Source organism: Homo sapiens, chromosome 1, assembly GCF_000001405.40.
Source record: "Homo sapiens chromosome 1, GRCh38.p14 Primary Assembly".
Classification (NCBI taxonomy): Eukaryota; Metazoa; Chordata; class Mammalia; order Primates; family Hominidae; genus Homo; species Homo sapiens.
Window position 1 is genome coordinate 33,493,643 of NC_000001.11, and position 27,172 is coordinate 33,520,814.

Below are 27,172 nucleotides of genomic sequence, written 5' to 3' on the forward strand. Positions count from 1 at the left end.
AAAATCTGTGGGCATGTGGAGAGAATGAGGAAGCCAGGCTCATTATCTTTTGTCTCTTAACTAAAAGAGAGAATGGGATTGAATGGGAAAAAGTATTTCTGCTTTGCTCAGATTATCCAGTCTCTAGCTTTGTGTGATCCCCCGAATCAGTCAGTCAGTCAGTCATTCTATCTTTTACTAGGTATATCTGGGCGGTTAGAGACTTTATTCAATCCAGTATGACACAGGATATATGGAATGTACTAGAAGAAGGAGGTGTTCATGATTGAGTACTAAGATAGAGGAGTTTGATGGGGAAACAGGTTGGCTGTGGCTGCTGGGCTGAGCCCCATGGCTCACTTGGTGGGGTCACCATGTCCCAGAGTCCATTCCTCAGCTTTGCAGGTCACAAACACTTGTGTGTACCAAAACTTGATCAATTTCTTGTTAGTCACATTTATAAGATGTGCGATAGAAGATATAAGAATCAAATTCATGTTAGCCAAATTCACAGATGTACAATACAGACACACACAAACACACACACACGCGCGCTAATGAGTGAAGAAAAACTGCATTTCTGTCCATTTTTTCAGGTTTTGAAATGAGGCATGAGGATGAAGACCAGATTTCAGAGCAGGACATTTTTGAGGGTTTGCCTGGAGCCTTATCAAAATGTCCTACAGAAGCTGTTTGCCAACCTCTTGACTGGGGAGAAGACAGTGAAAATGAAAATGAAGATGAAGGGCAGTGGGGAAATCCCTCACAGGAACAGTGGCAAGAAAGTTCTTCTGAAGAGGACTTAGAAAAACTTATTGACCATCAAGGCCTGTACCTTGCAGAGAAACCCTACAAGTGTGACACATGCATGAAGAGCTTCAGTCGGAGCTCCCACTTCATTGCCCATCAGCGAATCCACACAGGTGAGAAGCCCTACAAATGCCTTGAATGTGGAAAAAACTTTAGTGACCGCTCTAACCTCAATACCCATCAGAGAATCCACACTGGAGAGAAGCCCTATAAATGCCTTGAATGTGGGAAAAGCTTTAGTGACCATTCTAATCTCATCACTCACCAGAGAATTCACACGGGGGAAAAGCCCTATAAATGTGGAGAATGTTGGAAAAGCTTCAACCAGAGCTCAAACCTTCTGAAACATCAGAGAATCCACTTGGGAGGAAATCCTGACCAGTGTAGTGAGCCTGGGGGAAACTTTGCCCAAAGCCCATCTTTTAGTGCTCACTGGAGGAATTCTACAGAAGAGACAGCTCCTGAACAACCTCAAAGTATCAGTAAGGACTTGAATTCTCCTGGACCACACAGCACAAACTCAGGGGAGAAACTTTATGAGTGTTCTGAATGTGGAAGAAGCTTCTCTAAGAGCTCTGCCCTCATTAGTCACCAAAGAATCCATACGGGAGAGAAACCATATGAATGTGCCGAATGTGGGAAAAGCTTCAGTAAGAGCTCCACCCTGGCCAACCACCAGCGCACCCACACTGGAGAGAAGCCGTATAAATGTGTGGACTGTGGGAAGTGCTTCAGTGAGCGCTCCAAGCTCATCACACACCAGAGAGTGCACACAGGAGAGAAGCCCTACAAATGCCTTGAGTGTGGAAAATTCTTCCGTGACCGTTCTAACCTCATTACTCACCAGAGGATTCATACGGGAGAGAAGCCGTATAAGTGCAGAGAGTGTGGGAAATGCTTTAACCAGAGCTCCAGTCTTATTATTCACCAGAGAATCCACACAGGGGAGAAACCCTACAAGTGCACAGAGTGTGGCAAAGACTTCAACAACAGTTCCCACTTCAGTGCTCACCGGAGAACCCATGCAGGAGGGAAGGCGTCGTAGGGGACAGTTTCCTCAACAACAAAGGAGGACTCAATGTATATATCTTATATCATAAGATGTATGCTAGAGATAAACTTTCCAATTTTTAAGCTTGGTGTGTACCCAGGGAAGTTATCTTGGTATAAACCAGGTAATTTGGAAGTGAATTACAAATACTAAGGATCCAGATTTGAAGGCACTTTTAAGTGTAATTTGTTTTTCTTCTGTAAAGACCCACACAGAATCCTGACTGTCCTTGTATTTGCTATCATGTAAGAGCTGTGTCAGTATTTGAGCCAAACTGGCAACTTACGAGATTAGAGTTAAATCAGTGGTCCTGAGCAGTGATTCCAAACTCTCACTGTGCCTTCACACCATCCATGTGTAATCCACCCCATCAGCAGTGGTTCTCCTACTTTCTCAGTGGGGGCATATCCTCAAGGGAGAATGTTGTGACTCTGGTGAGAGAGGAGTTGGCCTAGAGCAGGCCACTGTGAGCTCAGCACAGAGTAGGAAGAACAGTGACATCATTACAAAATCATCAATAGCAGCAATAGCTGGTGTTTATTGAGCTGTTGCTCTTTGGCAAGCTCTGTGCTAAGAACTTTGTATACATCATCTCATTTAATCTTCACAACGGCCCCAGGAGATAAGTACTAACTTTCTCCCCATTTCCTAGAGGCTTGGGAAATTAAGTAACTCGCACTGGTCACACATCTGTAAGTGGGAGAGGCAGGATTCAACAGATCTGTCTGTCTTGAGTCTATCGTGCTCTTATTGCTATACTGAATTCCCATTCATGTTAGGTAACTTAGGGGCCAGAATCTCCATGCACTTTGTAGACCACATTTCCTGTTATGAAATTTCCACATTTTGAATTTTTTAAACAAATATGGAAACTGAGAATCCCTAAGGATTAAAGGACTTGGGATATCCAGAATTGGTGAAGTGATTTGAGCAAGGATGAGCTATTATCAAAATACTTGATGTGAGTTTCCATCTTCGCAATAATATGGGTGAGAGATATAGGTGGGTTGAGATTGGGAAAAATATGCGGCCTAAGTAATTTTTCTTCCAATAAGATACTGCTTTGGCTAAGGAAATGGGATGTAAGAGTTCTCTTTTTCTCAGGGGACAGTCCTACTTCTTGCCATGCTTGGCTGATCATAGGTTAACCCTAACAGAAGCCTGGGGTCCCTACATTTTTGTCTGTCTGGCTTTTCCTTTTGGCAAGCAGAAGCTTTGTTCTTGGTCCCCATGCCAAGACTGAGGTGGGAGGTGCTGGTGTATATGGTCATCTACTGAGAGGGCCTTGACCACTGTTCTGTGTACCAGGTTCTTGGCACAATTTTACCCTGAGCCATCCTGTCCCAGGCCTGCCCAGGGCTTTCTGTATGTTGACCCTTAAGACTCACCTCCCACATGGACAGGCTAAGTTAGAAAGGTTCACATAGGATGGTTTTAACATTTGCAGCACTTTGGCCTCCAGAGTTTCTCCTTAGAAGGGTTTAAAACTGTTGACCAAGGACTTCGGTTTCCATAGGACTTTAAAGGAAAATCCCCCTCCTGCCATCCTCTTATGACACTAGGATGTATTCATAACCTGCTTGGTTCATGGGCTGGGGAAGTACCTATCAGATAGTGGATGTGAAGCAGCCTTGAAGAATGGAACTTTTATTAACATGTGAGGAAGCCAGTGGAGAGATTTGCTACTCCCACAGAGTGATATCCCTTCTTAACCCCTTCCCCTGCTTCAGAACCTCCTTTCCCAAGAACCAGCCCCACTAGGATCACCGTCAACTCCCTCCCAGTTTACCTTTTCTGGCCCACGTTATCTCTGCGGGGCAGGGGTCATGGGATGAACCCTGGATAGAAGTCAGCAGATGTCAGTAACTGCAGTAATACAGTGATATTGTCTAGTAATGTGAGCTGAGAGGAAGGATCCTGAGGTGAGGGAGAGGGAGGGAATTCCAGGGAAAGGCACTGTTGTGTGGAATAGCATGGATTCAGGGTGGGGTTGTATGATGGGAGGTTGGGAACAGGGAGCTGATATTAGAGGAGTGCTGGAGCAAGGTCACTGAGGACCTCACATGTGAATGGAGTGTCAACACCAGGCCCGGGGCAATGTTCAGATGTGCATGGTTGAAATCTGACAGCTGAATGGAACTTGGACATGCTGCAATTAGGATGGCCTTTTGGGACACTGTTGTGGTATTTCAGCTAAAGGCTAGGGTCTGAACTAGAGCAGTGGTGACACTGAGGAGGAGGGAATGAATGGGAAAGGTCTCAGAGGCAGAGGGGAGGACATCAGAGGAAAGCTAGAATGCCTTTGGTGACTGGGTAGAGCATGTCCTCATTCAGAATTGGGAGCACAAGGAGGAGAGGCTGATAGAGCAGGAGGGCAGAAGATGAGAAGTTTAGTTTGGTATGTCTAGAACTTGAGGTGCTTAAGGGAAATCATGGTGATGCTATGCATTTGGATGTCGGCTAGCAGCTAGGGGAGAGGCTAGGACTAGAGATCTGTGTATGCGAAGTAGTTAAACTAATGAGAAAGGAAGAATTTCAGTTTCAAATATTGGGCCTAGGACAGAGCTACTTGATAGTGCTGAATGGAGAGGAAGATGGCCCTCAAAGGAGATCTAGACCATTCCCCACTCCCACCCACTACCATCATGTTCTGGACCCTGTCTTCTTTGTTACTGACCCCTGAATTCTTCATGTAGCCCTGAGTTTTCTGGAGCCCTCACTGTGGAAGTCAAGCTGAGCTCTGTGTGGATGTGAGGTGGTAGTCCTCTCTCCACTTGGTCACCCTTTCCCCTGGGTTTGGTAGTGTGTTAGTGTCTCATATCTTTAGTGAACAGTTTTGATGTTTATTATCTGCCATTCTTGTCTCATGAATCTTAATAGAGGTTCAGTCATGAAAGCAAGGCCAGTGTGGGCCAGGTGAGAAAATGGCCCAGGTGGTCCCTTCCTCCTTGTCTACCTGACTTCCTTTGGAAGAAGCACTCTTTCAGGGGGCTTCAGTGTTCCAGGCTTGCTGTCTACCCAAGAGCTTGCTGGGCACCCAGGCGCCCTCCAGTAGGTCTGTGCTGCTCAGATAAACTGACATCTGGTTTTACACACCCTGAGCTTTGCTAGCGTGATTCTGCTCTTGGGAAGTAGATTCACTCTGCAGAATGGGTGGACAGTTTCTCAGCCTTCCTGGCCACAGGTCAGACCCTGGTTATGGAAAACCAAACCAGCAAATGCTGCCCTGGGAGGGTGTTACATCATGTGAGCTGCTAAAGGCAGGATCGTCTCCCCAGATGGCTGCCTCCCCTTGATTTCTTCACCCTCCACCTCAAGAAGGGCATTGGCTCCTCTGAAGGGACAAAAAGGTACCTAAAGGACCTTAGGCCTCCCATTCCTCAGACCCCCAGAGGCAGCAGACCCAAAGGTAGGGGCAGGGAAAGGAGGGGCCAAGACTTTTTCAGATACTCGGTTTTTTCTAAGGCCTTGACCTCAGCAGCTGAACTCATGGTCATGGCTGCCTTGGCCTTATTGTCCACTGTAGCCTCCTCCCAGAAGCCGAGTAAAGCAGCTAGGGTCCCTCCATGCTAAATAATGTAGTCAGGCGCTCTGGGTAGTCCGTCCTGCCTCATCTTGTTCTGGGGCCCCCAGTGGGGATAGCTCTCTGCTTTCGGGCTGCAGAAAAGAATTGAGTCACTTTCTGTAGGGGAGTAACACCCTTTGGGGACAGGGGTGCAGTTTTGAAGTAATGAAGGCAGTGATGTCTGGAGTGGGTGTGGGTGTTGCAGGTGAACTTGCCTCACCCAGGCTGTTCTGGGTCTTTGTACTCCAGAGTTCTGTCCTAGGCTTGCTTCTTCATTCACTCTGTTTCCCTTTCTCTTCTTTTTTTCTTTTCCTTTCTTTCTCTCTTTTCTTCTGTGTAGATGCTAATGACTTCCAGATCTGTGTCCTGCTGTGGCCTCTCCTCTTAGGATCCCAGCTGCCTGCCAACCAGCTGTGCTTGGGTGACTCCTGGGCATCTCAAAGCCCCGGTGTCTACCATCACCCATCATGGGGCTCTTGGCCTGCCCATTCAGCACGTGCATTGATGTACACACTCAGTGACTCCCATCCAAGCCTCCCCTGCACGTGCCTGGAGAGACCTGCCCATTGGACTCATCTTGGACTCAGTTCTGCCAATACTTTCTCCCTTCTAAGAGCATTTCCAGTTGGGCTGGAGTTACCCAGCTGCCTGAGAGGTCTCTTTCTGAATGAAGTCAATATCTAAAGTCAAAATTAATCATTCAAAATATTCCCTTACCCCATTTTTTTTGGGGGGGAGATGGGGGTCTTGTGTTGCCCAGGCTGGTCTTGAACTCCTGGCCTCAAGCGATCCTCCCACCTCAGCCTCCCAAAGCTCCCCTTAACCTCAGTTTTGATCCCATCCTCCATTTGGGCATTGCTCAGCTCCCCCACCTGTTAATAGCAAACACCAATCTCAAGCCCCTGCCCCAATCTGCTACAAGGGGTTAGTGTTCCATGCAGTGGGAGTGCAGGGAAGGCTTTACAGGAGAGGAGGGAGTTGAAATGGGCCTGGAGGCCTGGGATGGTAGACACTGGATCCTTTTCCCCCACAGCTCCTGGCTGTTTCTTCACACTCCCAGCATCACTATTACTGCTAGCATGTCTTTAGCATCATTTTGCCCTCCCTCTGACTTTCAGCAAGCCTGCACTTACCTCCAAATAAATGCATGTTTTCGGGGGGCAAAGGCAGGTTCCTTCCTTACCTTATTGTTGCTTCCCCCACCCCATGCTGCAGCTGAGTGGGTGACCTTTCTCCTCACCTCCGTGTGCCGCATCTCTCACCTAGTCTCTGTTAGGAACCCTACAGGAGCCTGCACCCCAGTAACCCCATTTTATGCTGCTTGGAGGAAGAGACAGAGAGTTTGAGAGGTCCCAGTTCTTTTCAGTGTGTGTTTGGTTCCCCCACTTCTCAAAGCTGAGAGCTTCTTTGTTTTAAGAGCCACTTGGTTAAGTCAAGAGCATTAGAAGAGTAAAAAGAAGAATACAATTAGATAATTTTACCTAAACATGCTATAGTCGACTAGGGAGTCACATAGACATTGATTTTCTAATGAGGGCGCTGTTGGTGATTCTTTTTGTGTGTAAAGATGCTTCTGATCATGCCTGCTATTACATGATACTTATTTCTAAAGTCACTTTTTTTTTTTTTTTTACATTTTCATTGTAGAAAAATATCCCATAAAAATTGTGCCCCCTAGAGGGCGAGGGCCACGGGAAGGGGGATCAGGAAAACAAGAATCAGTCTCTAAGCTGGTCCTGGAGCAGCATGACAGATGTATCTGAGCCCAAGCAGGAGAGGAGCCACAGGCCCAGGCTGGCAGAGTTGTGACTACTAGAATCTCGAGTCACTGGGGCTCAGGGAGCCCTAACTTGGTGGCAGGTGACAAATGTGGCACAAAGGAGAAAGGAGTCTTCTCCTTCCACATAGAACACACTTGGCTTCAGTGCTTTGGGGGGATTCGTGGACCACAGAGAAGCTTCCGCATATTTATAGGCACTGGGGACCAGCAGGAAGTGGTGGTGAGACACTTTGAAACCCTCCACTGCAGACTTCACCCAGGGGGCAAGGCAGGAGAGAATCCCTCTGTGGACAGCACTTGAGAGGAAAGGGCTTGTTCATGACCACGTATGAGGTCGCCAACCCAACCCTGTTCCTGAAGTTTCCCAGAAATAGATGGAGAGGTAAGGCCAGCTAGGCTGGAGCGCCAGCATCAGTAGTAGGGGCAGGAGCTCACGCTAAACCCGGTTGGTGTGTCCTGGAGAAGCACAGGTGTCATCTCCAGGGACCTTTCTCGACCAACTAATTTATGGAAATGAGACATTTGTAATTGATTTTAATTCCCTCTTAGGGACTGTGAAATTAAAATGGATTAAATTTTGTCCATCAGGAGCCTCAGGGATTTAATGTCCAATTCTAAAACCTGAACAGGCCCTTTTGTTTTGCAATTTGTGGACCAATCCCTGGCTTCATTTTATTTGGCTTTGCTTTCACTTCCCCATTTTCTGTTATTTTTTTTTTTTTTGTGCTGTTATGTACATCTCTTAAAGCTGGTCAAATCATATTTTGGGATGGAATGGCCTGATAAGTTAATAAATTATATTAAACTGCCAAAAAAGGAATGTGTTTTCGATTCTTCTGGCTTCTTCCTGGTTACACCAAAAGCATGGGGGAGAAAAGGAAGGGAAGTCATCGAGACACAGGTTGTCAGGGAGATTGGGGCCAAGGTCTCAAGCCCCTTGTGCTGGGCAGGTGTCTTCTTTTCATTGTTCCCTGTGGTCCTTCAGACATGGGTGGCTCTTCAGGCATGTCCACAACCCCAGGAGCCATGGCCTCAGTGGCCGGTGCAACTGGCCGGAGCCACAGTGGCTCCGGGTGTCGGGGCTGTCCTTTTGTCCCTTTGATCTTACGCAGGGTGAGGGAGCCAATCACGAGAGGCTCACCCCTGACGTCACCCAGTCCCCAGGGCCAGTGAGGGCCCTGCGTTCCATGGGGCCCCCTGGAGGGAGGAGTGGCATCTCAGTCTGCTGGTCCCTATGCATCTACTTTGATATGTCCCTCAGGATCCCTGTGCTAGGAAACCAGAGGTGTCTGAAATCCAAATAACACAAGGATAATTATGGATGAAAACATAGGAAAGAGTTCCCAGGGGGCTGAAACTTACCTGATTCCTCTCATTTGCTTCCTGGTTCAGGAACAGAACTGATCGCACTTCGTACTTGAGAAAGAGGGGAGAGCTGGAGCGTCTTTATATTCTTTTCTGGCCTTCCTCCACCCATTGTCCTACTGAGGACATTCAAAAGACTGTAGCTCAAGGCTGAAGTTTCCTAATACACGCTCACTCTTTTGTCCTTATTGAATGAGATATAGGCAACTTTGCCTTTTAGGCCCTTGATATGGTTTGGCTGTGTCTGCACCCAAATCTCATCTTGAATTGTAGTTCCCATAATCTCCATGTGTTGTGGAAGGGACCTGGTGGGAGGTACCTGAATCATGGGGGCAGTTACCCCTATGCTGATCTTGTGATAGTGAGTGAGTTCTCATGAGATCTGATGGTTTTATAAGTGATTTTTCCCCACTTTGCTCTGCACTTCTTTCTCCTGCCACTATGTGAAGAAGGACGTGTTTGCTTCCCCTTCCGCCATGATTATAAGTTTCCTGAGGCCTCCCCAGCCCTGTGGAACTGTGAGTCAATTAAACCTCTTTCCTTTATAAATTACCCAGTCTTGGGCAGTTCTTTATAGCAGCGTAGAAACGGACTAATACAGCTCTGTTATCATTGAATTTTGATTGTGAATTCGTTTTGCTCGGAATCCACTGAGAACTTGTTTTTTCTTGTAGGGGTCAGATCTCAAGTATAGGTGTTACTAGTGGTTGGCATGTACTAATATTCTGCATGTCTTGGGACGAAGATGAGATCTGGAGGAAATGAGTCATGGTCTCCCTGAGGAGAAAGCTCTGGGTCTTGCTTACATGTTTTCATGTAACTTCTTTCTAGCAGTTACTCCAATACTGACCAGACCCACAGGGCTTACCTTCCTGGAAGACAGGACAGAGATCACAGACTCCTCATAGTCCATGCTCTTGCTGTTAGCTGTAGTTTGACCACAAATGCCAGTAAGGCATACAGGTCAGTTATAAATGTCAGGGTCCACTCAGGCTGGCCAGCCAATTCAGGCAGGAACAAGAACTGTTACCTGAAGGGGTCCAACATAGGTAGCCAGAGAGCTGGCCAAGGCCAGTACAACTGAGAACGTAATACTAGGAAAAAGCCCTACCTGAGGGAGATGCCTCATGGCTGGGGCTGGCCATCTGTTGGCCCCATGTCAAGAAGCTGCTGGGGCTGGGTGCAGTGACTCCCACCTGTAATCCCAGCACTTTGGGAGGTTGAAGTGGGTGGATCACTAGAAGCCAGGAGTTGGAGACCAGCCTGGGCAACATAGTGAGACCTCGTCTCTACTAAATAAATAAATAAATCCAGAGGATCCCACCTCCCTGCAGCCCTTTCAAATGGAGGCTGTTTATTTGCATACAGCCCAAGTTCCTCCTGGTGGGAGGTGGGGTTGCTGTTCTTTCTCCTCACTCCTTGAGGCTGCCTCCAGATCATAGCTTCTTTCCTCCCTATTCATTTGACCAGTAATTGACAGCCAATAGCTATAAAGAGCCTAGGGGCCAGGCATGCTGGTAAGGACCTTGGGTGGATGACATCATTTCAGCCTCAGCACGACTCAATGAAATATTGTTGTTGCTATCCCCATTTTACCACAGAGCCTCAGAGGCTCAGGTTAATAACTTGCTACTTCATATATTGTCTCAAATATATGAATGGAACCAACAATATATGATGTTCCTACTTCATATATTGTCTCAAAATTTTTAAGAACAGCTTGTTTGAATTTGAATTCAGTTAATGTCATACATCGCAACTGGATTTAAGATGAGGTCATTTTCACTGAGGAGTTTTCCAGAATCTGTATGTTGTCAATTACATCCTTATGGTATCATTGAACTTGTTTCCCTGTCATCTGTATTTCCTGTAACTGGTATTTAGATCCAAAGGTTTAAACAGATTCAAATTTGATTTTTTTTTTGGCAAGAATACTTCATAGGTGGTTGTTATGTACTTCCATCAGAAGGCCTATAATGTCTGGTTGCCTCGCTTTTTGTGATATTAGCAGTCATTGATGATCATTGCCAGAATTTATTTTAATAAAGGTTTCAAAATGGTGATAAATTCTATCCTTCATTTACTGGCTGCAATACTTTTGTAAAGAGACTCCGCTTCTTAATATTTAGTTACCCTGAAATACATTGCATACAAAAAGCAGGATGAATGCTTGCTCTTCCCTCCTTTTACTTACTGGTTATCAAAATATAGCTGGTTTCTTAATGTTTTCCATAAGTGACTAATGAGTTTTTAAAAAAATGTTATTTATTATTTATGATTATTTCAATAGCTTTTGGGGTACAAGTGGTTTTTGTTACATGGATGAACTATATAGAGGCGAATTCTGAGATTTCAGTGCACCTGTGTGAGTTAGTGTACATTGCACCTAGTGTGTAGTTTTTATCTCTAGGCCCCCTCCCAGCCTCTGCTGTCTGAATCTCTGAAGTCCATTATATCACTCTGTATGCCTTTGGATACTCATAGCTTAGCTCCCGCTTATAAGTGAGATCATACAGTTTTTGGTTTTTCCACTCCTGTGTTACTTCACTTAGAATAACGGCCTCCAGCTCCATCCAAGTTGCTGCAAAAGATATTATTTCATTGATTTTAATGGCTGAATAGTATTTCATGGTGTACGTACACCACATTTTCTTTATCCACTCATTAGCTGATGGACAGTTAGGGTGGTTCCACATCTTTGCAGTTGTGAACTGTGCTGCTCTAAACATACATGCGCAAGTGTCTTTTTCATTTAATGACTTATTTTCCTTTGGATAGATACCCAGTAGTGAGACTGCTGGATCAAATGGCAGATCTACTTTAAGCTCTTTAAAGAATCTCCATACTGCTTTCCGTAGAGGTTGTACTAATTTACATTCCCTCCAGCAGTGTCTAAGTGTTCTCGTTTCCCCACATCCATGTCAACATCTATTGTTTTTTCACTTATCCATAATGGCCATTCTCGCAGGAATAAGGTGGTATTTCATTGTGTTTTTTTTTTTTCTTTTTTTCTTTTTTGAGGCAGAGTCTTGCTCTGTCACCTACACTGGAGTGCAGTGGCACCATCTCAGCTCACTGCAACCTCTGCCTCCTGGGTTCAATCGATTCTCTTGCCTCAGCCTCCCGAGTGGTTGGGATTACAGGTGCCTGCCATCATGCCTGGCTAATTTTTGTATATTTTGGTAGAGACGGGGTTTCACCATGTTGGTCAGGCTGGTCTCGAACTCCTGACCTCAGGTGTCCACCTGCCTCGGCCTCCCAAAGTGCTGGGATTACAGGTGTGAGCCACCGTGCCCGGCCTCATTGTGGTTTTAATTTGCATTTCCCTGACGAATAGTGATGTTGAGTATTTTTTCATATGTTTGCTGGCCATCCATATATTTTCTTTTGAGAAATGTCTATTCATGCCCTTTGCCCACTTTTAAATAGGATTATTTGTTTTAAAAATATTATTACGAACTCATAGATTCAAACACAGTTACTATTTTTCATCCATTGCCTTATTATTATTATTATTTTATTTTTCTAGATTTAGGGGTACAAGTGCAGTCATGTTACATGGATATAGTGTGTGGTGATAGAGTCTGGGCTTTTAGTGTATTCATTGTTCAAATAGTGTATGTCGTCAAATTCTCCTCTGTGAGTTGGACCAGCAGTGACAGTGCCAGTTTCTCCCACAGTTTTGTCAACAGTGTGTTGCCTAGCTTTTGGATTTTTGCTGATTTAATAGGTAAGGAATAATGGAGTGAAACTGAGTACCTTTTCATATATTTCAAGGTTTTTGCATGTCTTTTCTTTCACAGTCTTTGAATGTTTGCTTATGGTACTTTTAGACTTATTTTTCTCAATTTTTAAGAGTTCTCTATGTATAAGGGATATTTGCATGAATGTTCCATGTATGCTTCAAAAGAAAGCATATTCTCTAATATTGGGTTGCAGAGTTTGACAGATATTCATATTCATAAAAACTTCCTTATGATTATTTTGGTTAGGTCTTCTACAGCCTTACTTTTGTTTCCTTGATTTGTTATGAACTGAGAGTGGTGAGTTAAAACTGCTGTTATTGGCATGCTCCAATTTGTCTTTGCACCTCCTGGTTTCTGCTTTATGACACATCTGCTTTCTTATTGGGTGCATAGTTATCGATATCTGTTATATCTTCATTGTGAATAATCTCCTTTAGTGCTGTAAAGTGTCCTTCCTTGTCCTCTTTCATGCCTTTGGCCCTGAATTCTAACTTATCTGGTGTGAGGATGGTGATTCCTGTTTTCTTGTTTGCGTATGCCTGTTATTCCTTTGCTTTGCTTTGCTTTAGATTTCAATACATGGTATTTAAGCCATTTTGAATCACTTTGTTTAGGTATGCCTCTTGTGATAGCACAGAGTCAAGTTTTATTTTGTGAGATAATCTGAACATCTTTATAATTAAACCTAATTATATTTAATAATATAGTGGCTACGTTTGTTTTCAGGTCTGTCATATTATTTTGTATTGTATTTACTTGGTGCATTTGTCATATTTACTGGTTCTTTCACAGTGTGTTTTTTTGGAGTACTTAAAAATATATGTATTAGTATTTGGCAAAATTTATATTTTCTTCTAGTAATTACTTTTATATTAATATATTTATAAATGTCCTTAGTCCTCTTTTTTCTACTTAGGTTCTAACTGTTTTATTAACTGGTTCTCAACCAGTGCATCTGTTGATCAATGACTTTCAACAGAGGTGGGGGGAGTGTATCCATTTTATTCCCCAGAAGACACTAGGCAATGTCTGGAAGTATTTTTGGTTGTCACAACTGGGAGAGGTGTGCATCTATTGGGCAGAGGCCAGGGATGCCGCTAAACATCCTATAACACACAGGACAGCCAGGCCCTACAACAAAAAAATCATCTGGCCCAAAATGTCCATACTGCCAAGTTTGGGAAACCTTTAGATGGTCTTTGACTCCCACCTGTTATCTGTGTGGCAACGAGTGGGGTCACTTTACTTTCCCCTTTCTCTTTCTCTTCCCATTAAAAAATCATGTTATCTCCACTTTGTCAGAACCTAGGACATTTACATACTATTCTTCGGTCTTTATTTTCATCTTCATTGTAGATTTCAATATGCAGTTTTCAATTCTTAACATCAGTCCTGTTGTTGAAATTCCTTAACTATCATTTGGTTGGTTAAAACTTGTCCTCCCAGTAGATTCTTCAGGAAGGGCTCCTGAGGAAAATATTCCTGAATTCTTGAATATTCATTACTGTGTTCTCATTGTCTTGATGCATAAAAATCACTGCATATAAAATTCTTGGTTTGTACTTTCTTTCCTTCAGTTTTGCTTTGTGTGTGGCTGTTAAGAAATCTGATAGCAACCTAATTTAATCTGGAGGCTCAGAGAATGTTTTATTTTTCTTTAAAATCTTACAGTTTGACTGGGGTTTGTCTTGGAGCTGAGCATTGCAGGATAATTTTCCCAGGAACCTGGTGGACCTTTCAATATATATGTTAAGTTTTTCTTTTAGTTCTAAATAGTTTTCCTAGAGTATAATTTTAAATATTAATTCTGTCTAATTTATTTAGGTTTTCTTCTTTAGGGACTCCTATTGTACATAAATTGGCTTGCTTTGCCTGTCTTTTATCTTTCTTTCTTTCTTTCTTTCTTTTTCTTTCTTTTTTTTCTTTCTCTTCTTTCTTTCCTCTTTTTCTCTTTCCTTCCTTCCTTCTTTCTTTCCTTCTTTCTTTATTTTTCTTTTTCTTTTTTTTTGAGCTGGGGGTCTCGCTTTTTTGCCCAGGCTGGAGTGCAGTGGCACAATCTCAGCTCAGTGCAACCTCCACCTCTCGAGTTCAAGCGATTCTCCTGCCTCACTCTCCCAGTAGCTGGGACTACAGGCACGTGCCACCATGCTTGGCTAATTTTTGTATTTTTTGGTAGAACTGGGGTTTTGCCATTTTGGCCAGGCTGGTCTTGAACTCCTGGCCTCAAGTGATCCACCCGCCTGCCTTGGCCTCCCAAAGTGCCCTTTTATCACTTTCAGTCTCATATTTTTTAGCTCTTTACATAACTTCTGTTTTCTTAGATATTTAAGTTTTCTTCCTGTATGTGCTTTATTATACTTTCTTTCTGTATGTTACCCATTGAACACTTTGCACTTTGCTCTTCATTTCTGAGATATGCTTGTTCTTTTATTGTAAGCTGTCATTTATTTCTTCCTGTTTTATGTCTATTTGTATCCTGAGTTTTCAAGCTTCTGGTTTGTATTACATGTTAATATTTACAATTGCTTGATTATATTTAATTAATGTTGGGATGCTTTAAAAAAAGTTTTCCTTTCCTTTATTTTTTAGGGGAGTATTTTAATTAGTTACAATGTTTTCTTTTCTTTGCTTTTTTTCTCTTTTCCACTCTTAGATATATACCCAAGTTACAATGTCTTTACTACTCATTTTCTGTTTTATTCTTTTTTTTTTTTTTTTTTTTTTTTTATTGATCATTCTTGGGTGTTTCTCGCAGAGGTGGATTTGGCAGGGTCATAGGACAATAGTGGAGGGAAGGTCAGCAGATAAACAAGTGAACAAAGGTCTCTGGTTTTCCTAGGCAGAGGACCCTGCGGCCTTCCGCAGTGTTTGTGTCCCTGGGTACTTGAGATTAGGGAGTGGTGATGACTCTTAACGAGCATGCTGCCTTCAAGCATCTGTTTAACAAAGCACATCTTGCACCGCCCTTAATCCATTTAACCCTGAGTGGACACAGCACATGTTTCAGAGAGCACAGGGTTGGAGTAAGGTCATAGATCAACAGGATCCCAAGGCAGAAGAATTTTTCTTAGTACAGAACAAAATGAAAAGTCTCCCATGTCTACTTCTTTCTACACAGACACAGCAACCATCTGATTTCTCAATCTTTTCCCCACCTTTCCCCCTTTTCTATTCCACAAAACCGCCATTGTCATCATGGCCCGTTCTCAATGAGCTGTTGGGTACACCTCCCAGACGGGGTGGTGGCCGGGCAGAGGGGCTCCTCACTTCCCAGAAGGGGCGGCCGGGCAGAGGTGCCCCCCACCTCCCGGACGGGGCGGCTGGCCGGGCAGGGGCTGACCCCCCCCCCCCCACCTCCCTCCGGGACGGGGCGGCTGGCTGGGCGGGGGCTGACCCTCACCTCCCTCCCAGACGGGGTGGCTGCCGGGCGGAGACATTCCTCACTTCCCAGATGGGGTGGCTGCCGGGCGGAGGGGCTCCTCACTTCTCAGACGGGGCAGCTGCTGGGCAGAGGGGCTCCTCACTTCTCAGACGGGGCGGCCAGGTGGAGATGCTCCTCACCTCCTAGACGGGGTCGCGGCCGGGCAGAGGCACTCCTCACATCCCAGACAGGGCGGCGGGGCAGAGGCACTCCCCACATCTCAGACGATGGGCGGCCAGGCAGAGACGCTCCTCACTTCCTAGATGGGATGGCGCCGGGAAGAGGCGCTCCTCACTTCCCAGACTGGGCAGCCAGGCAGAGGGGCTCCTCACATCCCAGACGATGGACGGCCAGGCAGAGACGCTCCTCACTTCCCAGACGGGGTGGCAGCCGGGCAGAGGCTGCAATCTCGGCACTTTGGGAGGCCAAGACAGGCTGCTGGGAGGTGGAGGTTGTAGCGAGCCGAGATCACGCCACTGCACTCCAGCCTGGGCACCATTGAGCACTGAGTGAACGAGACTCTGTCTGCAATCCCGGCACCTCGGGAGGCCGAGGCTGGCGGATCACTCGCGGTTAGGAGCTGGAGACCAGCCCGGCCAACACAGCGAAACCCCGTCTCCACCAAAAAAATACGAAAACCAGTCAGGCGTGGCGGTGCGCGCCTGCAATCGCAGGCACTCGGCAGGCTGAGGCAGGGGAATCAGGCAGGGAGGTTGCAGTGAGCTGAGATGGCAGCAGTACAGTCCAGCTTCGGCTGGGCATCAGAGGGAGACCGTGGAAAGAGAGGGAGAGGGAGACCGTGGGGAGAGGGAGAGGGAGACCGTGGGGAGAGGGAGAGGGAGAGAGAGAGGGAGAGGGAGAGGGAGAGGGAGAGAGAGAGGGAGAGGGAGAGGGAGAGGGAGAGGGAGAGCTGTTTTATTCTTATAGAAGCTTTGAAGATATGTCCATGAACCCTTTTTGTCCGTGAGAAAAGAAATGTGTAGGATTTTCCTAGACCAGCAATAACAGGTGCTTCTGCTGGAGTGAGGGAATGGAGTGGTGTTAGTGTTTATTTGATTTCTTAGTTCAGGGACACTCTGTTCTCTTGGTATAGGTAGATCTTGTGGGGTGCAGCTTGTCTCACAGGCATTGTAGTTTGGGCTTGCCCCCTCTATCTATGCCCTACGGCTTATGAAAACTTGTCCTGGCCTGATGTTTGGAAGTCTTTCCCCACTCTATGTGGTGTCCAGCAATCTGCTCTTTTCTTCCTTTCTTTTTTCTCCTTTATTTTTAGTAGGGACAGAGTTTTGCCATGTTGGCCAGGATGGTCTCGAACTCCTGGCCTCAAGTGATCCACCAGCCTTGGCCTCCCAAAGTGCTGGGATTACAGGCATGAGCCACTGTGCCCAGCCCATCTGCTATTTTCTTATAAAGTGTTTGCATATTTGCATGCTGGTATGAACTTGTCTTCTGAACTTAGACTTAATATTTGCTCCCTTGCTCTCTTGATTCCCAATCCAACCGGAGCTTGTGTTGGACAACAGTCCAATTCCTGACCCTGAATCCCTGCCAAGCTACCTGAGGTTCCAGTGGGAGGACTACACCCACCCTGCTGATTCCCTGTGTCCAGGAGAGAAATGCCAGGCAGCGTGTCCAAGATGGAATGCCTTTATTAAAACTGGGGGCCAGGCGCGGTGGCTCACGCCTGTAATCCCAGCACTTTGGGAGGCTGAGGCGGGTGGATCACCTGAGGTTAGGAGTTCGAGACCAGCCTGGCCAACATGCTGAAACCCCGTTTCTACAAAAAAAAAAAAATACAAAAATTAGCCAGGCATGGTGGCGCGTGCCTGTAATCCCACCTACTCCGGTGGCTGAGGCAGGAAAATCACTTGAACCCGGGAGGTGGAGGTTGCAGTGGGCCGAGATTGTGCCACTGCACTCTAGCCTGGGCGACAGAGTGAGACTGTGTCTCAAAAAAAACAAAAACAAAAAACTGGGAATGTTGGTCTAAATCAGGTTATTGAGGTGACAAGGGGGGCAGCTGGAGCCGAGGTACAGTGCAAAAGTGAAGGGTAGTGGGAGTCAGAAAACTGAAGGTAGTCTGGATGAATTTTCCACCTAAAATGATGACTGCTAACAAATGCATAGTACATTTAAGAAAGGATAGGCTCCTACTAGCTCTTGCCAGTTCTTTCCTCTTCTTCCTCACCACTCCTCTCATGACTGTCTTGCCTGGATGACCCTCCTTGATTTGGCTTTTCTCTGCTATGGAGTTTCTACTGCCTAAGCCCACCTGCCCTTAGACCGCGGTCCTCAGATCCTGAGCTCCTCAGTCCAAGCCAAACTCCAGCCCTGAGGGGAGCAACTTCTTTGTCCCCAGGTTCTTGGTCTGAGCTGATGTGGCCTCCACTATAAATTAAAAAAAATTGTATTGTGGTAAAATATATATAACATAAAATTGATCATCTTAACCATTGTTAAGTGGCATCAAGTACATTAAGTATATTCACGTAATTGTGCAATCTCCAGAACTTTTCTTTCTCCTTTTTCACAATACAAACATTTAATGAAAATTGGTTAGTGAGTGTGTATAATCCACAGGGGGCTAAATGTTAACCTGGGACTGTAGCAGAAATTTAAAATAGAATAGATGCTGGAGTAAATGTTATATATTGTCATCATCTGATTCATCTTCTTCCTTCAAAGATTCCTTGGCATGTTTCTCTTCTTCTTCCCTTATATCTTTTGGAATAATTTCATGTCTTCTTCCTTTAGTTAATTCACCAACCCTGCTGAGTTCTAATTTAAAAGGTTTATTCTTAACTTCATCATATACTATGTAAATATTTTTGCAACTTCTTAACAATAACATGGCAGGTCATTTCTTTCACCTGAAGCTTTTCTATTTTCTATCTTTGCAGCGTGCCTGGCTTTGCCAAGGGTACAGCCCCAATAACCATACGAAACATCTTGCAGAATTGTGCCCTGTTGTTCACGCTGTAAGACCCTACTGTAAAACTGCAGCCAAAAGGTCTAACAGCACTGCAGAGTGTATATGCATGGCAACTGTGTCTGCAAGATGTTTTTGTGGAATGGTATAGCCAAAGCTAGATCTAAAGTTGGAAGCGTCTTCTCTTGTTATATCTGCCAAAGAAGGGGCATCTGTCAACAAACCTGCTACCACCATTCCAACATGCCAATCAATATTAAAAAGTCTTTTGTTGGAGCCTTCTTCATAAAGTTTAGGAAGACTCCCTTTTCTACCCCAAAGCCACCACCATCTTTACATCTGAGTCCAGTGGCTGTACTATTTTCCACAGCCTTCACAGCATATTCAACTCAAAAAACTCTTCCATCAGGAGAGAATGTAGAGACTGACAAGTCATACCTGGTGTCAATTGAGCTCTTTGTTTTAAAACCAGTAGAACGCGTAGGGCTTCCAGGCCTCCAGAAACTTTTCATCTTATAAAACTGAAACTTTATACTAATTAAACAGTAACTCCCCATCCTTTCCTCCCCCTAGTCCCTGGCAACCACCATTCTACTTTCTGTATGAATTTGATGACTCAAGGTAGCTTTTATAAATAGAATCACATAGTATCTGGTTGTTTTTTTTTTTTTTTTTTTTTTTTGTGACTGGCTTATTTCACTTAGCATAACATCCTCAAGGTTCATCCATGTTGCAGTATGGGTCAGAGTTTCCTTCTTTTTTAAGGCTGAATAATATTCCATTGTACATATGTACCACATTTTGTTTATCCATTCATCTGTTGATGGACATTTGGGTTCCTTCTACTTTTTGGCATTTGTTAATAAATGCCGCTATTAACATATCTTTTTGTGACCCTGCTTTCAACTCTTTTGGGTATATATTCAGAAGTAGAACTGCTAGACAATATGGTAATTCTATTTTTGATGTTTTGAGAAATCGCCATACTGTTTTCCATAGTGACTGCACCTTTTTACATTCCCACCAATGGGGCACCAGGGTTCCAATTTCTCCACATCCTCACCAACACTTATTGTTTTTTGATAGTAGCCATTCTAATGGGTGTGAGGTGGCATCTCATTGTGGCTTTGATTATTTCCCTAATGATTAGTAACGTTGAGCATTTTTTCGTGTGCTTGTTGGCCATTTGTATATTTTCTTTGGAGAAATGACTGTTCAAGTCTTTCATAAGAGTTCTTTATAGAGTCTCAATATTAACCCCTTATCAGATATATGATGTGCAAATATTTTCTCCCATTCTATAGCTTGCCTTTTCACTCTGTTGATTGTATCTTTTGATATACAGAAGTTGTGAATTTTGATGTAGTCCAGTTTATCTGTTTTTTCTTTTGTTGCCTATACGTTTGATGTCATATGCAGGAGATCACTGCCAAATCTAATGTCATGAAGTTTTCCACGTACGTTTTCTTGTAAGCATTTTATAATTTTAGGGCTTATGTTTAGGTCTTTGATCCATTTTGAGTTAACTTTTTTTATGTGGGGTATGCACTATCATTTTTGCTCAGAGTTTCCAACATGTAGCAGTGATAACACAATGCAGTTAAGAAATGGACTCCCATATTTCTACCCTTGGATTTTAGGCGAAAATATGTCCTTCTTTCCCTTTCCCAACAAACACTTGCCCCTAGTCATGAAAGAGGCCATAAAAATGTAAGAAAACCAATGCAAAAATTTATATTTTATTTGAATTCAAAAAATTTAAAATTGCTTTCAAATTCAGGAAAGTACCATAATGCAGGACCCCAGGGGGAAGCCTCATATACAGAGACAGATAAATTAAATGTATATACTGCAGACAAGCCAAGAAGGTGTGTAGATTACATATTTACAGCACTTGATGTTTTCTGAAAACCATATTTATACATTTTATTACATTTACAAAAAAGGCTTCCACTACCGTTTACCTACAATAATGAAAAAAAAATTTACACCTTTTTTTTTTTCTTTTTTGGTACTGTACAAACTTTGTATAATAAAAATATATCTCTGTACAAAAGATTTTTTTTGTCTTTGTTTTACTTTTTTTTTTTTCCTCATGGGATGGTGATGGGTATATGGCGTAGATGGTGGGTGAAGGGCCTCATCTGCCCTGTTCCCTTCCAAGCCTCTGGAGGTGGAGAGAAATGTCAGGGGTGCGGAGGGTGATGCCCAGCAGAGTGCTGGGTGCCCCACCAGCAGGTGCTCCTCGAGCATCTCATGGAACTTTACAAGGAGACGCAGGGGAGGGGTGGGGGGCGGGAATAGGCATCCGCTGGGTGGTCTGAGAGGGGCATAAGAAGGGGGAAGGGAGCAGTCGAAGGAGAGGAGTGTAAGGGGGAAGGGAGCATAAGAAATTGGGAGGGGAGCTTCCTGCACTTGTTTCCAGCCAAGGAAAGAGATGAGAGTGTGAGTGTGTCTGGATTGGCCCTCTCCCTCCAGGCCCAGGGGGGTGCCGTGTCCCAGAGGTGGTGTGGCCAGGGGTAGGCTCCTGCCTCTGTCAGCCTCCATTGTGTCTGCTGGAAATGGACGCCTCTCACTTTCCTCTGGCCACTCTTAACATCAGTCAGATCTTCTAATTGTTCCAATCTAGAATTTGCTTAAGAACCAGGTGTCGCTGTCCCTCCGCTCCTGCACATTTCTATTTGCTATTTCAATATGTGACATGAATCTCTGAGGCCAGCATGTCACACGTATACAGGGGCTTAAGCTTGTGGGGGCCTTCCCGAGGACAGAGAAAGTGGCCCTAAATGCTATACTTTGATTCCTAAACTCATGAACTTCCCAACAATTCTCATGGAATTCATGAACGACCCAAGCATGATATAGCTGTCAAAATCAATCAAACCCACTCGCAAGGAGCTGGAGAGGTGTGACTTTCAGCCACTCTGTTGTTTTGATTCAGGACCTGCCAGGTCTTTTGCTGGCTATGGTCAGCGGCTGCTGGGAGCCAAGGAGCCAGCACCAACCGTGGGAGGCCTGGGGAGTTGAATCCTTGCCCCGAAGCTGCCTACGCGGAGACAGCAGAACCCAGATAGGACACACAGGTGTCTTGCCTGGCTTTCCAGACCTGGCCACAGTGCTACTGTAGAGATTCATCGGCTCCTCCCTTCTTAGCTGCCCCTTCTAGAACAGGGTTTCTGGCAGCTGGTGTAGTGGACTTTGGGGCAGACTGATCTGGGTTTGCATTCTGACTCCACACTTCCTAACTCTGTCTTTACCTTTGCAGGCTTCTGTTTTCTCATCTGTCAAAGGGGAATAACAAATCCTACATTTTGGTGTTATTGTGCAGACTAGAAATACTACAGGTAAAGTGTCAGGCACAGAGAATAACCCCAGTACATGATAGCCATTGTTTTTTGGGTACTGGGGCAGGCTTGCTCCCCTGTTCTCTCAAGGACCCTGCTGCTGCCCCCAGACTTGGCATCCTGTCTGGGCCACAGACTTGTCTTCTCTTCTCTTTGTCAGTTGACAGCCAGACTTGACCTTGGGCTCCTGGCCAGACTCCTGCCCTATCCTCCCCGGCTCTCCCTTCTTTCCCAGTGCTTCCCAGGACCCAAATGACTTTTTAATCCACTGGGTTTAGAACTCAATAAAACAGTGTTTGAAAAAAATAAAGAAACTGATTTTCAATCTATTTCCAAAGACTTTTTTCCTGCCCTTGGGGTAATCCTTGCTGCCGCTGTGCAGATGGGCCGTTCATCAGCAGACAGCTGGTTTCTGCACGCTGACCGGGTTTCTGCACTCTGACCGCATGATGGGATGTGTCCTACTGTTACAGTCACCGAGTCACCATGTCCTCACACATGGGATGGGCGGGGGGCATATTGTTTTGAAAGCTGACCGTACCTCCCCCTCTTCATCTCTTCTCTGTGTGGGGAACAGGGCATGAAGCATCCTTCATGCGCACTTCTAGTTTTGAAGCCTTTATGGTCTCTTCCATAGGACGTGAATGAAGGAGAGGTGTGTGTGTTTGTGTGTGATCAGGCCCATACACACACACACACACACAGATCCACAAGTTGCTTTGCTATTTTAAATCCATAAACTTTCTTCCTCTGTCTGCAGCCCCTCTTCCTTTTCTGCCTTTTCAGGACACGGCAGGAGTCCTCTCCAGGGTAACTGGCATAGATGGCGGCAGGGCGAGGGCCTGAGTCCCAGCAGTAGCAGACACAGGCAAGGAGACGAACGAAGATGGGCACTGGGCACTGTGCTCAGGGGAGCCTACTTCCTGCCCCCTGGGGAACTGGGAACAAACAGATCACACCTGAGTTTGCAAAGAAAAAAGAGGCAGTGGGAGGGGAGGGGCCGGGAGCAGAGGAGGAAAAGCAAAGCGGCAAAGAAAAGAAGGCACAAGCGGGAAAGAGATGAGTCACCTCAATCTTCACTTTGATTTTTAATCTTCCCAGGTTGGGGATGGGGGTAGGTAGGGAATACGTGCAGCAGAACATGTATTTTTCTGTCTTTTTCCCTTGCAGGGCCAACTTCGCCATTAGACCTGGAGGCCCAGTGCTTGGGGGCCACCATACTTTTAGGAACCCAGGAAAACATTCTAATTTTAGTTTCTTTCAAAATCAGATGAAAAAAAAAAAATGACTAGGATAATAATGGCTCTGTAATAAAGAATCCAGGCTGGATTATATTCATTTTTGTAGTGACACAGTTGTGAAATCTCATTTTTGATACTTTTTTTTAATGGAGGAAGGGTTGGCAAACATCATCACACAGCCCTGTTCCCCCGCCCTGTTACTCACTGACCGCACAGGCCTCGTTGCTTCCTTAGTAGGGTGTTTATTTTAATTTCAGCTTTTCTCCTTGGCATTATTTAAAAAAAAATTACCATCTAGTCACTCATTTGCAATGTGTGTGTGTCTGTTCAGGGTGGCTCTTGCTTTCTTTATGCTCCAGCTGTGGGCAGAAGTGGTCAGAGGGGCCCTGCTGGAGACCTGTGGGCTGGGCAGTGGGTTCAGAGCCTGCTGGCAAGGGGCCAATGCTGAGGGCTGGCCAGATGTGGAGCCACCAACCCCAGCCGACCCGGAGGTGACAGCATGGCGCACACCAGCACCTGGAACCCAGCAGAACCCAGGTGTGGAGCAAGAGTGACTGTGTGGAGGTCAGCGGCATTCTTGTTTCTTTCTTACACTGTTCAATAATTCATGCAGTGAATCAGATTCATCACTGATCATCTCCAAGCCCCGATTTACATCATCAGAGGGGATTTTTCTTTTTCTCTTTTGCCTTCTATTGATAAGAGTTCTGAGAAGGAAAAAATAAAGATTGGGCATACAGATGAAACTTGAGGAGTAATTTTGGCATGCTAAAACAATCCCACTGGAATAAGGGGGAACCCTTATTTAAATGTTTGTTTTGGAGAGACGTAAAAAGATGGGGAAAAGCTCTTTCCATAAATTGTTTGTATTCAGGAGCTGCATCTGCTGAGTCCCTGACTCACTCACCATCTGGGACTCAGGCTGAAACTGTGAAATCCTCCAGGAGTTGTGAGGCAGAAAGGGAGTAAAGCACGTCAGGGGCTGGGCAGTGATAATGACATTTGCTGCTCTTGTAACCCCCTCCGCAGGAACTGTCCCCACCATCTCTGTTGGTGGCCTTTGCAGGCACCCTCATAAAAGCCTGTTTCCTCGCTGCACTGCCATTTGTGTGTGGCTGGGAGAATCTGCCACGTGAGCGGCCATGCACAGGAGCGTGGGGAGGGAGCGCAACACTAGCCCTGGGTTTGGCTGGTGGCCCACTTGGCGGATTTTCCACCGCCCTCACTGGGAATCCCTACCTGGCTGGCTCTGTGACTCTTCTCCCCAGAGTCCTTCAGCACAGGACCTGAGAGGGGGCACCTGCCTATCCCCAGAAAGCGGGATGTGTGGGAGAAGACAGTTCTCAGAGGGGTGCAGCTTGGACATCGTGTTGGGGCAACTCCTGAAGGGTCATAGGTCCCAGAGGTGAGGGTGTCATCGAAGGAGGACACAGTGAGGAAGAGGCAGTGCCTTTTAGATTCATCAGTTCCTTCCCAGTGGGCCTGTCAGATGCATGCCTGTGTGCATGTATGCGTATGTGTGTGTGTGTGTGTGCATGACCGTGTACACGTGTGGGTGTGTCTGCCCCCTGTCTATATTTCCGGGAGCTCCTCCCCTCTGTTGTGCTCAATGTGGGGAATTTTGTAAGTAAACCTGCCTAGGCTATGGTGCTCAGTTGATGGGTCAAACACCAATCTGGATATTGCTGTGAAGGTATCTTTTTAGATAAAATTAACTTTGAAATCAGTAGACTTTGAGTCTCCATAATGTGTGTGGGCCTCGTTCAATCAGCTGAAGGCCTTAAGAAAAAGACTGAGGTGCTCCAAAGAGGAAGGAATTCCGTCTCTGACTGCTTTTGGACTCAAGATGACAGCATCAACTCCTGCTGGAATTTCTAGCCTGCTGGCCTGCCCTTTAGATTTCCACCTTGCCAGCCAATTCCTTAGATGAATCTCTCTCTCTAAATATATATTTATTTATATTTCTATCTCTATATAACATTTACATATAGCTCTACGGAGATGCGTATCTATATATAGATGGATAGGTATGGATATATCTTGATATGGGGTATATGTATTGCGTTTATAGTGTATGAATGTATATATATACACAATATACCTATATACACAGATATATGTGCATCTCTGTATAGCTCTACAGATCTCCAGGGCTTGACTTCGACCCAGAGGATGTATATATCCAGTTGGTTCTGTTTCTCTAGAGAGAAACAGACTAGTACATGCCGATGTTCTGCCAAGCCCAGGGGTGAGGAGCAGTTTCTGGAGCCAGTCAGCCTGGGATTGGATTTCGACCCCACCCCTTCTGAGCTGTGTGACCTTGCTCAAGTTAGTTTCTATGCAGCTCAGTTTTCTCATCTGTAATGGGGCTCCCACAAGCTTCTACCTCACAGGGCGTGCAGGGATTCAATATATTAGATCCACAAAGGGCCTGGTTCAGTGCCTGTTACACAATGATGCTCAATGCACAGCTCTCCTCTTACTGGGTGTGTCTATGTGGTGTGTGCGACTCCGTTGGGTGGAGCCCCTGGCACGCATAGGTCCCTGTCTGTGCTTGTCATGGCCTGTCTTCCTCCCACACCCCTGCTCACCGGCTGCTGGAGGCGGGGCTCTCGGTGGCGGTGGTGGCGGCCAGGCCGGGTGGCTATACTGCTGTGCACACTGTGCTGACTGTGAACTCCGCCTCGCTGGCCATGATGTCTGTGGGCTGGATGTTGCGGTCGTACATTGGGTTCTCAAATGTGGCCCGAACATTGGTGTTCTCGTGGCCAGCATAGCCATTGAAAGGAACTTTGGGTCTTCTCCTGGCGATAAAAGAGGAAGTGCCCACGGCATGAAAAGAGCGACACAGAGAGGCTTAGGGGTCTGGTGCGGGGGGCCCTGGAGGGAGAGAGGGAGGCCTGCCTGATGCCCGCCCTGCCTCCTTCCTGCACGGTACCTGTGCTTGTAGAGATAGAGCACGAAGCCCGCAATAATGAGGGCGATGAAAGGCACCAGGATCGCGGCTGCCACTGAGCTGCTGTTGGAAGCAAAGTGGCGGCCAATGGACTCGGGGTCTGACTCCAGCAGCCTGAGGTCTGTAAAGTCCCAAAGCAGAAAAGTCAAGTCACGAGACACAGTCTGAGGCTCCGTTGGCTACCCTCCCCGACTATACACTCTTGGGAAGCAGGGCTGCCACTCAGGGTGCTCCTCACTCCTGCTCAGCACGGGAGGCAGGTGTGCCCAGGGCTGCCCGCCTGCCTCCACGTGCACACTCAGTCCTTGGGGGCAGGGTCCTGCATGCATCTACCTTGTGCTGCTCAGATGGCACCCAGAGGACCATCCGCAGAGGAGCCTGAAACCATGGCTCAACAGAAACTCTTACAAGGGTGCAGCCCTTTAGAAGTCTCTAAAGTTCTTTTGGCTGTAGCAGCCTTTTATCAGATGAAACCTTACAGGCACAACAAAATATAAGACAGATGAAGGTGAAACTGTTCTGGTTGAAGCTGAAGCATCTCCTTCTGAAAGGCTGCCTCTCCTCCTTCCTCACCCTCCCCTGCAGACTGGGAAGGCTCAGAAGAACACAAGTAGAAACTGTGGCCCCAGTAGGCACCCTGCTAACTGAGGGGCTGGGGCTCTGAGAGGGGACAGGATGTCTGCTGTGGAGCCAGAACAAAAACTGTGATTTTCTAAGGCCTTTGCAGCGTGCCTGGCCATCTTGCAGTAGGTGAAGGGTGCTGTGTGGAAGACAGTGGTCTCAGTCCATGCAGCTCATGAGGGCAGAGCTGGGACAACTCCGGGGGAGGAGCAGTGTGGGTGGGAAAGGGTGGGAGCAGACCGTGGCTCAGTCCAGAGAAGCTTTCAGGAGCTTGGAGCCAGAGGACATGGAGTGGACTGCCTTGGCAGGCAAGGGCCCCGGCGATGGGAGGTGTCAGTGCCTGGGGTACAGAGAGGCTGTCACG

General features: G+C 45.9%; 2 protein-coding genes and 1 pseudogene across 22 annotated transcripts in view, besides 2 other annotated features; 1 reads left to right on the forward strand and 2 right to left on the reverse strand.

Moving 5' to 3' along the window:
• Nucleotides 1-8,001, forward strand: part of ZSCAN20 (zinc finger and SCAN domain containing 20) — a 28,999-nt gene extending 20,998 nt beyond the window's left edge. For all 14 annotated transcript variants that reach the window (NM_001377376.1, NM_001377377.1, NM_001377379.1 and 11 more), the window contains one exon: nt 576-8,001. In NM_001377376.1, the coding sequence (NP_001364305.1) occupies nt 576-1,834 (1,259 nt within the window). In that variant the 3' untranslated portion in view covers nt 1,835-8,001. The remainder of the gene's footprint in view (nt 1-575) is intronic.
• Nucleotides 15,856-16,764: an enhancer, noted in NCBI's record as "H3K27ac hESC enhancer chr1:33975098-33976006 (GRCh37/hg19 assembly coordinates)". NCBI's record gives its function as "activates a minimal SCP1, AML or CMV promoter by ChIP-STARR-seq in naive H9 embryonic stem cells {active_cell/tissue: H9 hESC(naive)}" and the evidence as "EXISTENCE:reporter gene assay evidence [ECO:0000049][PMID:30033119]".
• On the reverse strand, nt 18,249-19,142 carry LOC100422287 (proteasome 20S subunit alpha 3 pseudogene; annotated as a pseudogene).
• Nucleotides 20,356-27,172, reverse strand: part of CSMD2 (CUB and Sushi multiple domains 2) — a 651,845-nt gene continuing 645,028 nt past the window's right edge. For 7 of the 8 annotated variants that reach the window (XM_047443685.1, XM_047443656.1, NM_052896.5 and 4 more), the window contains 3 exons: nt 26,170-26,308; nt 25,823-26,035; nt 20,356-22,928 (listed from right to left, as the gene is read on the reverse strand). In XM_047443685.1, the coding sequence (XP_047299641.1) occupies nt 25,876-26,035; nt 26,170-26,308 (299 nt within the window). In that variant the 3' untranslated portion in view covers nt 20,356-22,928; nt 25,823-25,875. Of the gene's footprint in view, nt 26,036-26,169; nt 26,309-27,172 lie in introns of all 8 variants that reach the window. The other variant, XM_017000185.2, reaches the window with a different exon arrangement.
• Nucleotides 25,947-26,483: an enhancer, noted in NCBI's record as "H3K4me1 hESC enhancer chr1:33985189-33985725 (GRCh37/hg19 assembly coordinates)". NCBI's record gives its function as "activates a minimal SCP1, AML or CMV promoter by ChIP-STARR-seq in naive H9 embryonic stem cells {active_cell/tissue: H9 hESC(naive)}" and the evidence as "EXISTENCE:reporter gene assay evidence [ECO:0000049][PMID:30033119]".